Source organism: Homo sapiens, chromosome 17, assembly GCF_000001405.40.
Source record: "Homo sapiens chromosome 17, GRCh38.p14 Primary Assembly".
Lineage (NCBI taxonomy): Eukaryota > Metazoa > Chordata > Mammalia > Primates > Hominidae > Homo > Homo sapiens.
The window spans coordinates 34,590,133-34,607,777 of NC_000017.11; the positions used below are offsets into that span (position 1 = coordinate 34,590,133).

General features: G+C 51.4%; 1 protein-coding gene across 1 annotated transcript in view, besides 3 other annotated features; it reads left to right on the forward strand.

The window, feature by feature from the left end:
• The window catches only part of TMEM132E (transmembrane protein 132E), a 59,737-nt gene that overhangs the window by 10,551 nt on the left and 31,541 nt on the right, over window positions 1-17,645 (forward strand). The window lies entirely within an intron of this gene.
• Window positions 1,653-2,153: an enhancer, noted in NCBI's record as "H3K4me1 hESC enhancer chr17:32918804-32919304 (GRCh37/hg19 assembly coordinates)". NCBI's record gives its function as "activates a minimal SCP1, AML or CMV promoter by ChIP-STARR-seq in naive H9 embryonic stem cells {active_cell/tissue: H9 hESC(naive)}" and the evidence as "EXISTENCE:reporter gene assay evidence [ECO:0000049][PMID:30033119]".
• Window positions 7,237-8,056: an enhancer, noted in NCBI's record as "H3K4me1 hESC enhancer chr17:32924388-32925207 (GRCh37/hg19 assembly coordinates)". NCBI's record gives its function as "activates a minimal SCP1, AML or CMV promoter by ChIP-STARR-seq in naive H9 embryonic stem cells {active_cell/tissue: H9 hESC(naive)}" and the evidence as "EXISTENCE:reporter gene assay evidence [ECO:0000049][PMID:30033119]".
• Window positions 11,010-11,798: an enhancer, noted in NCBI's record as "H3K4me1 hESC enhancer chr17:32928161-32928949 (GRCh37/hg19 assembly coordinates)". NCBI's record gives its function as "activates a minimal SCP1, AML or CMV promoter by ChIP-STARR-seq in naive H9 embryonic stem cells {active_cell/tissue: H9 hESC(naive)}" and the evidence as "EXISTENCE:reporter gene assay evidence [ECO:0000049][PMID:30033119]".

Sequence of the window (17,645 nt, forward strand, 5' to 3'; positions counted from 1 at the left end):
TCCAGCCACCACTGACCACACACCTGTGTCTGAGCAGTTATTGAACTAGCTAGTTATTTCAATGGTCACTTATGAAATGAGCACCTGCTATGAGCCACATCCTGTGCTGGACACCAGGAATCCTCCCCCCCGGAGCTGGCTATGGACTCTATTCTCTTGGCTTGGTCCCGACACTCATAGCTTTCCTCCTCCACTCTCACCCTTTCCCTACACTCAGCTCTAAAACCAACCTGTCTGCTGTCCTCACTTCCACATCTGCACAGATTGTAATAAAATGCGGAGTCATTGACATGTTGCAAAGGATACAGAGCATTGTGGAGGAAGAGGGAGAAATGTCATAACTGTTAGAGGGATCTGGGGAGGCTTCATGGAAGAAGTGCCACTTTAGGAGCCCTTGACTAAGTTCAAGAATTCTGCTTCTGAAGACTAATCAGCCAGCATCTACTGTTTGTCTGATACCCTGGATAAGATAAAAACACAGGGCAAAAATGGTCACTGGCCAGCGAACTCTCAGAGTCTTGGTGGGAGAGAGCCAAAATGCCTGTGAAGAAATAGCAAGATACAATGCTAAATTCAGGGTATGTAATTGGTAACTCTTTACCTGGGTGATCTTTAAAGACTTTGGCCCAATGTTCCATGAAGTGCTGGGGAGGTGTAGAGAGTTATGGAGTGAGGGAGTGACATCATCAAAGCAGGGTTCTCAATAATTACTTGATCAGGGAACAATTGGCAGATTGGATCAATGCTGAAGCAAGTGTTGGCAGCATCTGATCTGGGAGTGGGGGCCTTGGGATGGGAAATGAGCACCAGAAGTCATCTGAGGCGCCACCCCATGACAAAGAGCTCACCGTTAGAACCAGAGGGATACATCTGAGTGTGAGTGCTGACTCTGCCGCTTACCAGCAGCCTGACTTAGGTTTCCACTCCTTGGTTTCCACCTCTGTAAGACTGGATGGCAAATTGAAGGTGAGGAGCCCACAGCACGAGGGCTCAGTACGTGGAAGTGTCTTTATTATTTTAGCAGCCAACTCCTGGAGAGCAGAAGGGACATGCCTGTGACTTCACAGCCAGTTCTGACCCCTTGGTGTACAGGAGCATCCTTACGGTCCAGTCAGGAGTTCTGAAGAATATGGCCAAGTAGGAGAACCTAGAGAGAGATGGGATCTCCCTCACTATTTTTTTTTTTTTGAAAGACAAAGTCTTGCTCTGTCACCCAGGCTGGAGTGTAGTAGTATGATCACAGCTGGCTGCAGACTCAACTTCCTGGGCTCAAACAATCCTCCCACCTCCACATCCCCAAGTAGCTGGGACTACAGGCACATGCCATCATACCTGGCTAACTTTTAAGTTTTTCTCTCCCTGGGGTCTTGCAAATACATTGTTGCCCAGTCTGGCCTCGAACTTCTAGCCTCAAGTGATTCTCTGGCCTTGGCCTCCCAAAGTGTTGGGATTATAGGCATGAGCCACCACATCCAGGCTTCCTCACTATTTTTAATGGAGAACCAGCCTACCTCCTCATTCCTCATCCAACAGTCAGCCAGCAGCTGAAGGAGCGGATCCACACAGGTGTCACTGTCAGCATTTGGGCCCCAGGAAGGTCTTAGGAACCAGTCATGTCAGAGAATCATGGTGGGTCTTCAAGTCACACAAATGTAGGTTGAAATGGTGTGGGCTGCCTGCCCTGCTGCAGTGTAGCTGAGTGACCCTGGAGCACTTGCTGACATCTCCCTGAGCCTCTCCTCCCCTGTCTGCACTGGGAGTAATATCCTCTCTCAGGCTGGGCTGCCGCATGAATGAGATCCCACGGTGTGTTTGGAAGTATCCAGAACAAATGCTACGTGCCTGCTGGAGGGGCTCGGTAAACTGGTGTCTTTCCATCCTTTCTTGCCTAGAGCCAGGCCTTACTGCTGGGAAGCATGTTTAAGACAGTGCCAAAGACTTCCCGGAGAGCTGTTTTCTGGTGGTTGGGTTTTTTGTTTTGCTTGGGATTTTTGTTTTTTAACCCTTGATGCCTCTTAGCAACATGCTGCTTGTTTTAAAAACAGCAGTGGCCAGCTGCTGGCCCCCACCCTTCCTCCCTCCCCACTTTCCTTCCCAGGAAAGCAGTCACAGGCATTGCCCCATGTTCCCAGTGCTTCTGCAGCCCAACCGGGGTGGAGGAGGCATTCCTGCGTCCAGCAGCCGGCCCCCATCACAATGCCAAAGTTGCACCCAGCTGGCAAGCCCACTGCTTCCTGAAATTTGCTTCCTCCCCATGGTGGGTATAAAGTCTGTCTACACACTGCCAGGACAGCACTGCCATTGCCAGATAGCAGGTCTAGGGTTATAGGGAGTTTCTGACAAGGAACACAGGCCTCCCTAATCTGCAGCCTGAAGGTGTATGGGGAGAGATACAGGCTTGAACCCTGAAGATCCTGGAGCAGGAGCCTCCTCATCCACTCCTAGCAGGATGGCCAGGTAACCATACGCATATTACTCTTTCGTTTCAGTTTCTTTATGTGCAAACAATAAGAAGAAAAACCTACTCATCTTGCAGGGTTGTTGAGGATGGGGCCACTGCAGTTATGCACTCCGCCTGACACTGTCAGTGCTCACTCAGTAAATGGTTGCCATAATCATTATTTCATAATGGTATCATTGGCATCAAGGAACACTTAGGAGTCACCTCAGACAAACCAGACCCACCCAGAGGGTCCCCCACCTCCCCACATTCCCACCTCTGGTGTTGCTCTTTCCACCACTGTTCTCTCAGCCAACTGCAAGCCCTGTGATAAACCCTTCCTCCCAGTGGAATTTTGTTTTCTTGTCTTTGAAATAGAGGTTGCTGAGCAGCATCGGCACTGTCCAATAGAAATATAACAGCAGCCACGTATCTCACTTAATCTTGTCTATTTATCACATGAGAAAAAGTGAAAAGAAACAGGTGGAATTAATTTTAATAGTATGTTTTAACCAATATGCCCAAACAATTGTCATTTCAACATGTAATCAGGGCCAGGCCTGGTGGCTCATATCTGTAATCCTAGCACTTTGGGAAGCTGAGGCCAGAGAATCCCTTGAGACCAGGAGTTCGAGACCACCCTGAGCAACAAAATAAAACTCCATCTCTACATTAAAAAAAAATTATATTGAAACAATCAAAAATAAAAACGTGTAATCAGTATAAAAGATTATGAATGAGATACTTTGTTCTTTTCTTTTGTATTAAATCTTCAAAATCCCCTGTGCGTTCTGCCTTGCCAGCAGCATATCTTCATGCCAACTAGCCACATTTCAGTTGCTCCACAGCCACATGTGGTGAGTGGCCACCCAACAGGACAGTACAGGGCTGGATGCTGCCCACGGGCTTATCCATACCCAGTTCTCCTATTGGAGGTATTTTCAGGGCCCCAGAGTCAGTGCTCTGGGACTGATAAGCTGAGCCCACTCACCTCCTGCTGTCCTTCTTGGAAATCCCCTGCCCAGCTCAGTGCCTGCTCAGCCCTTCCTCAGCTCTGGCATGATTTGTGCTGACGATGATGACTCCCATCCATTCAGAGGCAGCAGCTTCTAGGGCCGGGGTAGGCAGCTTCCAGCTGCCTCCTAAGGCCACTTTCCCTTCTGCTCTGCCAGGAGATCCTGCAAACCACAAGTCAAATCATCACCCTTCTTCTCAGAACCACCTCACTGAGAGTGAGAGCCAAAGTCCTCACAGTAGCTCATACCACCAGCATGATCTGTCCCTTTTCCCGACACTACTTCTTTGACCCAATCTTCCCCTTCACCTGCTCGTCTCCGGTCACGCTGGCTTCTTTTCTGTCCCTGACATGCCAGGCACAGAGCCTCAAGGACTTGGCTGGCCCTTGCTGCCCCTCGAATAAACACGATTCCCGCCTCTTACCTCCTACCTCTTTCAGGTCCCTCCCTGGTCCCCCTCTATCTAAAGCAGCCCTGTGCACTTTCACTCTGTCCCCTGACCCTGCTCTGTTTCCCTTCACCTGACATATGACATGGTTATGTGTTCCATTGGAATGGAAGCCCTTGAGAGCAGAGGCCATCTCTGTTTTGTTCACTGCTGTATCCCCAACCCCTGGGGCCTGGCACAGAGGAGATGCTCAATAATGATCTGCGGGATGAATGAATGAACCTGGGAGCCTACTCCTTCGCAACTGCTCACCCTTTCCACCCAAGGAGTCACTAGCAAGACAGACTGGGTGGCATGATTGGCAGTAACCAGAGAAAGAAAATGTATTCCTTCATTCACTCATTAACACATTCATCTGCCATATCCCAGCTGTGTGGTCTTGGAAATATTGCTTAAATTCTCTGTGGCTCCGTTTCCACGTTTATAAAATGGGATAATAAGAGTGCCTTTCTCATAGAGTTGCTGTAATGAATAAATGAGTTAATGCATGTAAAGTGCTTGGAGCAGCGCCTGGCTTGTAGGAAGTGCTCAAATAGACACTCGCTATTGTTTCATTCAGCACATGTTTTTTTGTTTGTTTGTTTTGTATTTTAGAGACAGGGTCTTGCTCTGGCATGATCATAGCTCACTGCAGCCTCGAACTCTTGGGCTCAAGTGATCCTCCTGCCTCAGCCTCCTGAGTAGTAGCTGGGACTACAGGTGCATGCCACCATGCCCAGCTAATTGGTTTCTTGAGGTTTTATTTTTAGAGATGGAATTCTAATGATGTTATCCAAGCTGGTCTTGAGCTTCTGGCTTCAAGTGGTCCGCTCGCCTTAGTTTCCCAAAATGCTGGGGTTACAGGTGTGAGCATGTTTTTGAACACCTACTGCACACCAAGCACTGTGACAAACACCAGGCATGCAGAGATGAAGACACAGTGGCTGGCTGATATGAGACAAGGATGCAAATAATTTCAGTGCAGTGTCATCGATGCCAGGGTGCTGGAGGAGCAGGGACTGGCCTACCCGGACTTTGGAAAGGGCCAGGTATGGCTTCCTGTCATTCTGTAGGAACCACTGCCAAAATCTGTGTGAACTGATGAGTTGAGCTCCAGCAGCATCATGGAGTAACATTTCGTCCAGAGCTTTGCCCATTCAGCCACTGCAGTGTGGTGAACAGAGCACAGCCTAGGAGTTAGGGAACCTCAGCTCTGACAGCAACCTGATAGGGGTCACTTTTGTTCCCTAAACTTCAGTCTTCTTACCTGTAAGGTGGTCTATACTGAACAGTGCCCACCTCTTAGATCATAAGAATTCAATGAGCTGATGGATGTAAAGTACCAGCATGTGCCTGGATGCTCAATAAACAGGACAGATACTCTGATTATCCTCATTATTGGTACCAGCCAATGGGAAGACCTCCTTATAGGGTGCCCTGCATACAGCTGGCACTAGATCAGTGTGTGTGGACCTGCACTGAGAGCCTGTGTGTACTCTGAATTCCTCTCTGGACTGTGGCACAGAGGGCTTCACAATGAGGTGTGATCCTTAAAGTCAAAGAAACATGGGACAAGGGCTGGCAGGGAGATTCAGGCCCCTCTCACCTGGAACCATTTCTGTTTTAAAGATGGGAAAACCAAAGTCCAGAGAGGGGAGGAGTTATAAAGCCAGGGTTAAGACCCGTGTGCCTGACTCCCAGGCCAGTGGTCTCCTTCTTGTGTCTTCTTTGGTTTCACATGAGGGTATTGACAGGGGCAGCAACGCCAACAATTGCTGAAGGAAGTTGGTTGGTCACAGCTGTGGGTAACCTCACCTCTGGCTTCTTCAGGGACTGTATTTGGGGAGGCGCCTCAGTAGGCCTGGTATTTACATTGAGTAACCAGATTCCATCTCCAATAATCACATCACAAACAGCATGAAATGTGAACTATGGGGAAGGCTTTGCTAAATGTGTGACTGGTTTTCTTATTTTTCCCTCCATTCCCCTCCCTCGGACCCCAACCCCTCTCTCCCTCTCACGTCTCTCTGTCACACACACACACACACACACGCACAACTTGCATTCCCCAGGCAACCAGTGCAGGCCTCTGATTCCAGCCCAGTGAAGGCCATCTTTAGAAGAGAGATTTCCCCTGTCTGGGGTGTGGCAAGAGGAATTGGTATTTGAAGATCAGGTTCTTGTTCCTTGCAGTTCACCACTGTTCCCCACCATGACCAAGGAGTGTGGAGCCCTTGGCAGTTTAAAAATGGCTAAACATCTTACACCATGTAAGCCTCATCCATGAAATTGGCAATCATGATTCCCATTATGTGGATGCGGAAACTGAGGCTTAGAGTATGGAAGGGACTGCCAGGTCACAGAGACAGAATTAGCAGAGCAGGACTCTAGCTCAGGAGACGGTGTCCTCTACTCCCCCTGGGCCCTAATCCTCTAGGCCTCCAGCCCCTAGTGTCATAGAGGATGTGTCACACCCATTCAGCTTGGTCCCAGTGCCATCAAATTTACCTATGCAGGTGCCCCAGTCACAAAAAAGGGAAACTGAGGCAGGGAATGGCTGACTCATTCCTGGCAGTTGCTTTTCTCCTCATGTGTCTTAGCCCTTGGTCCATCATTTGCTTCCTTTTCCTTGGTCCCTGGCTATTCCCAAGGGTCTCCCAGCCCTGATGTGTGGGACAGAACCCTGCAGGTCCTCCTCAGAATCCAGATTTTCCTCCACATCTCTGCAAAGCTGATCAGCATAAAACCATCCCTAGGCTTTGCCTTTAAAAGTCTTCATCTTTTCTCTTCTCCCTAAATGGCCCCTAAATGATTTCTGTAAATTGCTCTAAGTAGCTCAAAAAAAAAAAAAAAAAAAAAAGGAAGAAAGAAATAATAATAACTCAGTGACTGCCTGCCTGACCGGAATCTCGATGGCTCTCCTCCTGCCTGGCTGCACCTCCCAGCTCCATCCCACCGAGCATCCAGACACGCAGCCCCTCTGCTCCAAAGCTAGGAAGGGGGAGCTATGCCTCAGCCTGAGCCCTGCCTCCTCCCTCAGGCAGGAGGCTGCCCAAGTCAGGGCTGCAGCCACCGTATCAGACAGGGAGCTCCTCAGGACAGCAGTATCCTCCCCTTCCCTTCCCCTACCACCACCAGACTGGGGAGTTTCCCAGGGGAGACCTGCACTTCCCTCATCAGTCTGGGGACTCCTCCAGAGGAGTCCAAGACTGCTTCCTTCTCAGACTAGGGGCTTCCCCAGTAGAGGCTGTGCCTGCCCCAACAGACGGGATTCCCTTGGGGCAGGGCTCCAGGGGCACTCAGAAGCCCCTCTGAGTCTAGCTTTCCTTGTTCTGCATCCAGCTCCTTTATAGAGCCTCATTTATTTTACCCCAGGTTAGAAATCTAGGTCCTGATTCCTAGGAAAAAGATCTTAGGATCTTTTTCATTGATTCAGTCAACTATTCATTCATTCATTCAATTCTGCAAAGGTTTCCTGAACACCGACTGTGTGCCAGACACTGACTGGATATGTGTCCTTCTGCAGATGCGGTCCCTTTGAGGAGGTCCTGTGGCCAGAGACCCCAGGCATGATTCTTCTTGGGGCAGGGCATCCAGCCCAAGGCTGACACCCCATGGAGGTGAACCCAGCCTCAGCTCCTGGCCACCATCATGATCTTCATGACCACAGCCTTTTTTCAGTGTGGGCCAGGAAGCAGAGGCCAAAGGTAGGAGGGCCCCACCAGCTCTGGTGCTTCCCATGAGCCTCTGGCCTGGCCCACCTTTCCATCCATAACCTCCACTCATGCTCTCCTCCACACTTCCTGCCCATGGAGATCTGCCATCTCCTGGTCACTGGGGGCTGAGATCCTGCCCAGAGACCTCAATCCTAGCAGCTCAGCCCCTAAAGTGATGGTGTGGCCTTGAGCAAGTCCCTTCCCTCCCTCCAGGCCTCAGTTTCCCTGTTTGAGATGAGACAGAATTGGACTAAATCAATGATTTCCTAAAACATTTTTAGCCAGTAAATTATATATGTAATAGATAATGCATTACAATATGTCATATACATTACATATAATACATGTATTATATATAATGCATATATGATACTGGTAAAAGCAGAACTACTGGTTGAAGAGAGAGTGGAGGTACCTCCCTAAGGTCTCATCTGTCCCACCTTCCCCTGTCACCCCATGGAAGGCCTTGAGACACCCCCAGAGAGCCCAGCTGGCAAGTTGTTGGTGAATTTAATCCCTTCCTAAGGCCACTTCCACTGTGCCATGGGGAGAGGGGTCTGGGTGGTGCTATTGAGCCCATCAGGTGATGGGACAGTGAGGGAGACATGGCACAGTGGGGGAGACAGTCCCATCAGAGAGTCCCATCACCTATCTGCCCCCTGATTACCTGGGGCCCCACTCTGCTTTCTGGTGGGGGTGAAGCCCAGGAGAAGGATTGGCTCTTGCTGGGTACCCAGCACCCTCTAGGACTGGAATAAGTCCAGCCCCTGATTAGAAATGCAGGCCCCAGGGAAGCTCAGCAGGCAGAGGCGGGGCCTACCCAGGACAGCCCTGCCCACCCCTGACAGAAGGCGGGATTGTTCCAGATGAGATAAAGCCCCTTTGTCATCCTCCCTGCACTCCCTTTGATGTGCAGAAGGTGGAAGGAGGAGAATAAACACAGACACAGTCCTCTGCTTCCTCTCTGATGTAATTGGAACCCAATTAAGTGAATAATTGTTACAAATGTTGAAATTACCTTCCACCAACTTGGGGATGTGAGCCTGCTCTCAGCAGGAGCCTCTGAGACCCAGGCTGGGACCTGGCCCTGGCCTAGCAATTTTGGGTTTCCCTGGGGTGGGGAGGTGTTGAACTACAGCACTCTTGATTGTCCCGCCAGAAGAGATGCTGAGCGATCCAGTCCAGCCCCTGGCTGCTGCAGACCCTGGCCCCCAGCCTCAGATATTCATTCAGCTAACCTTTACTTACACTTCCAGAGCTTACAGACACTTGCTCATAGGAGCTGACCTGAGTCCAGGCGGATGAAAATAACTAGCACTGTTGAGGCATAGACAGGGGTCCCAAGGAGAAACAGAGAGGGAGGGCCCCAACTGGAGCAGTGCAAACCTTAGGCAAAACCTTGCAAGATGGGTGGGAGTGAGGTTCCTGGTTCTGTCCAGAGTGGGCATCTTCAGTAGAAACTGAGGTGGGGGGTTCCCCACAGCAAGAGGGTATGTGGAGAATCAGAGCATGGAAGATGAATGACTCAGATTAGGATGCATTCTAGAAACCTGCATAAGGAACACCCCACCACGGGGCACCTGCTAATGCTGCTCAACCCCCACTGTCTAGCCATAAGCGCAGTTGCACCATCATGGGGCGCATCCAGCCCTCACCTTCAGGGCTGGTTTATCTGATGGTGGCCTTTGTGTTGGGGCTTTTAGGGTATACCAACCTCATTGATGACACTTGCAAACTGAATGGCTGATGCCACTGCTTCTGCCAGCAGTGGGTGGAGGGGAGAGTAGGGGGACAGGGCAGGTGTTAATTTCGTAATGAATTTGGTGGATTCAGATGCAGGGAAAGGCAACACTTTTGTGAAAACTAGAACTCAGGCAGTGCTTCTCAATCTTGGCTGCACATTGAAGAGTTTTTTATTTTTTATTTTTATTTTTTATTATTATCATTTTTTTTATTCCAGTACCTGGGTCCTAGCCCTAGAGATTCTGAATTCACTAATCTGGGCACAGCCAGGGATCCCAGGTGCTTCTAATGGGAAATCAAGCCTGAGCCTCACTCACTGTCAGAGCAAGGCTTCCCAAGTGTGGTGGAGGGAGTGGGGAGGGGGCCAGAATCACCTTCTCAGCACCTAGACCAGAACTTCTGAATTAGGATGGCTGGGAGGGTCCCAGGGACCTGCATTTTATAAGGCCCTCCAGCATCGTGACAGGCCTAGGGCAGATCCCCTGATGCTGGGGGCCCTGGTGGGGAGGGGGGCTTGGAGGCCCTGGGGCCAGAGGACAGGACCCCAGGAAGGAAGAAGAACATAGAAAAAGTGTGGAAGATAGGTATGTCCTATTTTTAAATGATTTGAAAGGGAACCTTTATTCACTTCCTATCTTCTTTTCTTCCTCTCGTTCACTTAGTCCCCTGTTCTAGGACCCAGAATCCAAGATAATACTCTTAGAACCACTCTTTAGTCTCATTAGACACATAGTAGATGCTCAATAAATATTGACTGAAGGAATTATGGGTAAACTCTGTTTGGTGGGCTAACCTGGAAACGTAACTACTGATAATTGCTACTACTACTGAACTGCTACTGATAATATAGTCCCTGTGTGGGAAAGTATTGAAATGTGTTTCCAAGCTCTAATAGCTAATTTCTAAAGAACTTTTGATAAGCAGCCCGTTTGTTAAGTTTGAGCGTATATGAGTGTGTGTGTGTGTGTGTGTGTGTGTGTGTGTGTGTGGCAGGGTGGGGAAAGAGAGTTCTGCTCTTAATGAACCCAGCAGGGGATCCACCCTTGGGAGTCTGCCCTGAGGTTTGCCATGGGGCACCTGGATTGATATTCCCAGTGGGGCATTTATGGAGATGGCAAAGTAGAACAAGGTCGGGGTAGGAGGGCCTGAGTGACTGCTAAGGAGAGAAGCAGCCAGGAGAAGCCAAAGAAGGCTGACAGGTCTAGGGCAGGAGGGCCAGGAGTTGGAGTGCGGCCCCGGCAGAACTGGCAGTCCAGGATGGAGCTGTGAAGTACCCAGAGCAGCAGGGCACCTTGCACGTGGCCTTTCCGAGGTGTGCAAGAGCAACCCCAGCAGGTCAAAGGTTTCAAGCAGGAAAGTGATGGATGCACCTGCAGAGGCAGAGCTGTGAGACAGAGGCCATGAGGTCATGGAAGCAGGAGGTCACTGGCAGCCTCAAGCCCCTAGGCCCTCGCCAGCTCACGGCACACACTCTCTCTCCATGTTTGCTCTGGGAGAGAAGAAGGGCTGGTCTCCACTGGGGAGCAGGCAGAATCCAGGAGGCCATTGGGCTGGACAAATGGCCTTCCTGCCTTCTCACAGTGTGAAATTTGGGCAGCAACAGCCAACAAGAATCCCAGGGGGTGCAGTTTTCAGGAGGATTTCAGGAGATCTCAATTTGATTCTTGCCACATCCCCAACACCCTCCATGCCAGCATTAATGAGGAAATAGACAAAAAGCTGAAAGAGAGAGAAGCAGAGCGGGTCCAGAGGCCTGGGAAGAGCCTGCCCTTCTGTGAGCCTCTGGAAAGCCCAGGAGGCAGACCGCATCTTGTGGGGGTACTACAGTCAGCCTTTCCCAGTGAATCCCTCCCTCTCCCTGGGGCAGCCATTGAACTCAGAGTGAGGGGCTTGGAGGAGATCCCCCAGTCCCTGACTGCCCTGTCCCAGGCTGGGCTGTCTCTACTGAAGCCAGGCTGTCAGCTCTGCAGGGAACTCCGGCCTCTGGCTGGAGGCTGTCTTTGTCCCCAAAGTCCCAGCCCTACTTTGTACTGATGGAGGACTCCAGAGAGGGGGCAATTCACAAGGGAGACGAACCTGATGGCCTTGTGGGAGGGGGCTGTCCCTGACCACACAGGGTGACAGTGATTAAATGCACCAGCAGCTGGGCCATCAGGGCCCTCCCTGCTGCTAATTTGGGTCAATTAAGCCAATTTGTCTTTGTTGACTTGAAGTCTCTTCTCTGTAATGGCTCCAGCCCCTCTGGGGCTTCAGAGGGAAGAGAAGAGGAAGGAGGCAGTCTCCTGGCTACAGGGCTACCTCTCCCTTCCCCACCCCAAAACCCCAGGCCCGAGTACCTTCCTCAACCTTGTGACCCCTCTCATTGTCCTGCCCGAGGGCCTCCACAGCTGTCATCCCTGCCGATGCCTCAGGGTTAATCTCACTCCACAGATGAGCAATTAGGGGTCCTCTAGAGAGGGTGCTACTCCAAGTTAGTGGGAGAGGGGGGACCCCAGCATTTGGACTCACAGTCTAGTGCTCCTCTCCAGTCTCCACAAGGCACTGGGTCCATGGTCTGGCCCCTTGGGAGTCCTGCTACCATGGCCCCCTGAGGGGTTCCAGGGAACACCATTTAAAAACCACTTCCTCAGCCCATTAGGCTCCATCTGGTACCCAAAAAATGGGGGAGGCAGGGACCAAAAAATGTTGTCTCCAGAGAGAGACAGCTGCCTCCGCATGGCCTCCCAGTCTAGGAGAGGACAGAGTCTGAAATGAACAATCGTGCTGCTTTAAGCTGGCTCTCATGTCCCACTGCCCCCTGGGCTGGCCCAGCCCGCAAGAGATTGAGGCAGCAGCATATTGGGCACAGGTCAGAGACAAGGCTGACACAAGGCTCTGTCCATTCTGAGGCCCCTTCACTTCTCTGGGCCTCAGTTTACCCATCTCTGGGATCCCAGGAGCTGAAGAGGAAGGCTGCAGTAGGCCCCTGCAGCTCTCACATTTGGAGAGTTGGCCTGACAGGGGCCAGGGTGGAGGAGGAGGCTTTTCTCCCTTCTAGCTTAGAAGATGGAGTGCTTCCTCTCTGTCTCCATTCTTGACAGGTGAGAGCAGGTGGGACATGTTGTCACACTGGAGACTGGCAAGGACAGGAAGACCCAGAGCTTCAGCATCCCCTGCAGGAGGCTGCAGCTCCAATTTCATCCCCATGGAGTCAATCTGGCAGAGGGAGGGCTTCACCCAGGGCAGTGGGGTCAAAAGGGAAGGAGCTGTGGTTTCTGGGGAAGAGAACCCGGGAGCTGTACACAGCAGGATTAGTGTCCACGAAGGAGAGAATTAGCTGAGTTTCCCTTTCAAACTCCACAAGATGGCTTCCTTAACCCATCTGTGGCCAGGACCATTGGCGCCAAGGGCAGAAGCTGGGGAAGCAGGTCCACGTGGGATGGAAGTAAGTGGACTGTCATTGCAAAGAGAGATGCCAGTTGCCTCTCCAAGATCTTCCTGGAGATGCTGGTGTCAAACACTAGAGCCAGCTACATGGGGCTAGGAGGTGGCATTGCCTCCCAGGGAGGCACAGAGGCTGTGTCCTCCCAGCCTAGGCCTGTCTTACACAGGAAGGGGGTCATCTTCTGGTGTTAAGTCACCTGCATTAAGTCCTTTTCGTGGCTGCATCTAGGCTGACAGAAAGTGGGATGGGCAGGGGTCAGGTTGCGAGACAGTGATGCACAGAGGAGACCCTGACCTCGTAGCCATCCTCCTGGGGGATAAGGCAGTGTCTGTATCAGATGTGTGTAACCTCAGATTCCTCCACTGCAATGTTAGGGCCTCTAGGGCAGGAGCCTGGAGGGTAACAGACACAGACCCTCGGACCCCCAGAAGGAACCTGAGGGAAGGGCTGGCTCAACCCCCTCTTGTTATTACTGGTGGGGAAACTGAGGCGAGATGGCTCCCCACAGCTAGCACCCTGTATAGTCGTGTTCCACAGAGGCTAGAGTATGACTCCCAGGCTCAACTGAGCACTGTTTTCCTAGTCATACTTCAGAAACCTCCATGCCATTCCAGGGACTGCAGGAAGAGGGGCTGTGTGCCATGCCTGCTCCTGCACAGGGATCCAGCAGGCAGAAGACACAGAGGTGTCAGGCAGCGATGCTGAGTGGACCTGGGTCTGGAGCCTCAGAGGCCATTCCTTCCCTGTGTGGGCTGTGGCAGGGTCCTCCTCTGGCCAGCTCTTCCCCCTGGGTGTTCCTGTCCTCCCCTCCCTAAGCCTTGCCTTCTCAGCCTCATGGTGGCTCCTCTGCAGTGCCTGCCACCCTCAGTGATATGCCCTTGTGGGCCTCCATCCCTGGCCATCTCAGCCATACTCACTGTCCCAGCTGCAGCTGACCACTCGTCCACCATCTCCTGTGGCTATTCCATGAGTTCCTCACTGTGGGTACCAGCCCCCTCCGCCACCAGGCCTGGTCCCTTCTTTCATCCCCCTCCCTCACTCAATGGAGCCACCCTCCCTCTACCTAGAAGCCACATCAGGACAACTGCACCCCTCCCTCTACTCCCTCCTGCCCTGGAGCCCCCTTGGACTGTGCTGCTTCAGAGTAACAGCAAAAGTAAGCCTCTTCCTGAGTGCTGGGCATTGTTCTAAGGGCTTTGTTTAATCCTCACAACAACAGTACTTGTACTGTCTTCACTTCACAGGCTCAGAGAAGGCAGTAACATGTCCAAGGTCACACAGCACTGATAACAGTGGGGCTGGGACCAAGTGCAGGCAGAGTCTGAGCTCTTCAGAATGGCTTCTTAGGAAGGGTTCGCTCCTTCTTTGCTGCTACTGCCTGTTGGGGACTCCACATCTCTCCCCTGGACCATGACAGCTGCATTCTGAGCGCTCTCCCTAGTCTTGGTCTCCCCAGCACACCATCCGCCAAGAGAGCCCTTCCCAAAATGAAAATCTGACCATGTCACCGGCATCCATCCACATTTGATAGCTTCCATCTCCCATTGTCTGTGTGGAGGATGAGATCCTTCCAGCTCCTCATGGCAGCATCCAAGGCCCCTGTGATCTGAACTTGCCTTGCCTGTTCTCCTGTGTCATCACCTGCGTCTCATCCTCTCCCTCCACACATGTGCGCACCCTCTGCCCCCTCCCCCAACTCAGATGACCATCTGCAGGCTTCCAGCTCTGCATCTCCACTAGTTCTCTGTGGGTCTGTCCCCCTCAGAAACCAACTTTGACCTCTCTGTGCCCCTCCTGGCACACAGTAAGTCCTTGAGGGAGCAAAGAAAGGGAAAGAATGCATTTTGAGGGAAGATGAAGTCCAAAGTCTAATGAGAATGATTTATTATTAATAGCAACAGCTAATGTTTATTTCTGAGCATTTCTGTGCCAGGCACTTGCATTTCCTCCTCACGACAGCCCCATGAGCTGGATGTTACTGTTGTCAGCACTTTAAAGGACAGGTGGCTGAGGCTCAGCAAGGTTAAACAACTTTCTCAAGGTCACACAGCTGGAAAGAGGCTGGATTGGGATTCAAAGCCAGGTTTATCTGAGCCCAAAACTTAAGCTGGAGACCTCTACTTTCTGTAACCCACCTTCCAAAGCTGTCCAGAATCACTGGGTGATCCTGGATGGGGCCTGTGATTTCGTAGGCTGCACTGAGAGGGATGTGCCTGTCCTCCACTTCCTAAAGAGCTGCCTGTATTTTCTTATGTAATCAGCCATGACGTCCTAAGTGAGTGGATTCAGGTCCCTTGTCACCTACTGTCGCACGGGCTGTTGGGGCCCTCAGAGCATGAATCGTGTAATAAGTGAGGCTCAGCCCAGCTTCGGAACCATGCGGTGCTTCAAAGCTGGGCCCGGAAAGGTATTTCCTTTTGGAATAAAGTGGTCAGGTGTACTCAGCACCTCCCTCAGTGAGTGGGGTCAGCCAGGAGGAGTGGCCCCTTCCAGGCTAGCTTCTATGGAAGGCCTTCCCTCACCATCCAGAACAGGCCCCACTGAGCCAGCCTCCCCCAAGTACCCCCAGCATCACAGCATCCTGACCCCACCCTGCTGTCCTGCTTGGGCTGAACACAGACAGGGAAGAGCCCTGTGGCTCTCCTAAGCAATAGCTTTGCCTACAGGCGGAGGAAGGGCTGAGGTTATCCTTCAAAGCCCCCCACCATCAGCACCAGGATTCCAAGCATCTAGGAAAGAAGATTTATTCGCTATTGCCACGATAAAGCCACGTAACAAACCACCCCCAAATCCCATGGCTTGAAACAGTGAGTGTTTATTTCTCGTGAGTCGACCAGATGTCTGGGGTTTGGTTGCTTTAGGCTGGGTTCAGCTGGTTGGACTCCCAGCTGCTGATTTGGTCTTGGTCTGTTCATGCTTCTCTCCACCTCTTTAGAACCGACGCTACTTGAGACGTATTCTTCTCGTGGCGAAAAGGCCCAATTGTGCGAGCATGTTTCCAACCTCTACATGCGTCCCATTCATTAAAATCTCATCCACTAAACCAAGTCCCATGACTGAGCCTCAAATCAGGAGGTGGAGAAGTAGATTCCACCTACAACAAAGCCATGGCAGGAGTATGGCCGGGTCATGCTATTCCAGAGCAATGTGAAGAACTGGGTCTGGGCCGGGAGCAGTGGCTCATGCCTGTAATCCTAGCATTTTGGGAGGCCAAGGCGGGTGGATCACCTCAGGTCAGGAGTTCGAGACCAGCCTGACCAACCTGGTGAAACCCCATCTCTACTAAAAATACAAAAAAATTAGCCAGGCATGGTGGTGAGCACCTGTAATCCCAGCTACTTGAGAGGCTGAGGCAGGAGAATCGCTTGAACCCAGGAGGCAGAGGCTGCAGTGAGCCGAGATCGCACCATTGCACTCCAGCCTGGGCAACAAGAGCGAAACTCCATCTCAAAAAATAAATAAACAAAAATAAAAGATTGAGACTGATAGTTCAGTCTACTACACAGGAAGAGAGTAGTCCAGAAGTCAGAACTGGAAAGGGCCTGAGAATTCACAAGCATAGAAACTGAGGCCCAGGGAGGGGAAGAGACTTGTCCAAACCACAAAGCAAGAGCTGGGCAGAACTAGGAGATGCACACATGCTCAGAGCTCTGGATTTGTTCTGCCCCACAGCTCTACCTCCCCTTCGCCCTCACAGACTTCCTGGAAGCCCAGTCCCTGGACGAGGGCTGTTTAGGGAGCTATGAGCCCAGTCTCATTCTCAGACCATGGTTCTTACATAGGTCCCCTGGCAAGTTGGAGGAGCTGGGCCACCCGGGGCTGGGGCAGTGATGTGCCATTCCTGAACCCAGAACCACCACTAATGAGCAGAGAGACATGGCTGTTTCAGTTTTCCCAGCTCCAACCCTGTGTGACCTGCCTGGCTGCACTTCCTCTGCCCGTAAAACAGTACAAGGGCCCTCCTCTCCCCACTCACTCGCTCTCTCTCTGCTCCTTTCCTGGCCTCCTTCCTTTCCTCCTCCGCCTTCCACACAGCAGGCAGCAGCTCCGAAGAATGGCAACCTCCCAGAATCTCACAGCTGGAAAATCATGCAGACCAACCAGCTGCTTGTGCAGAAGGCTCTGCATGGCATCCCTGATGGGAATCAATCAGCTTCAGGTGGCTGGGATCCTTCCTGGGACAGGGAGCTCAGTACGCTACAAGGCAGCTCCTTTCATTACAGCTCTGACCCTGAGAAATTACTAACCCATTTTTGGTTCCAAGACAGCCTTCCCCAAACTTTTATGCACTGATCTTAGCTCTACCATTATTTAGGGAGAACTTACTATGTAAAAGCTGCGGACCGGGGATACAGAGATAGGGTCACTGTGCACCTCCTCAAGGGGCCCACAGACCACAGGGGAGACAGACATGGCAACATGGTGCCAGGTGACACGTGCTCAGGCAGAGAAGGATGGGGGAACCAGGGTTGACTTGGGGAGGACCCCTATTCTTCCTGCAGCAACAAACAAATCTCTTCCCAAAGGAAAATCCTGCTCCTCTTTTCACAATATTTCAGACACCAAATGTGCAGGATTTTATTCCTCACACCAAGGCAACTCTCCAGTTCTCTGTGGGCATGAAATGGGTGTCCACAATTCAATTTAGTTCTGATATTAACTGCCTGGAGTTAACACAGACTCCACAGGTTAAAGACTCAGTCCCACAAGACTGCTACCCATTTCAGATGCCAGTTGCAAGTATTGAGTGCCCAGGTACCACACTTCTGTCTGACTCGGCTACGACGGGGATTCCCAGGACCCCTTCCTCAAGTTCAATAATTTACTGCTATGGCTCAAAGAACTCAGGAAAATCTTTTTTTTTTTTAACTATTACCAG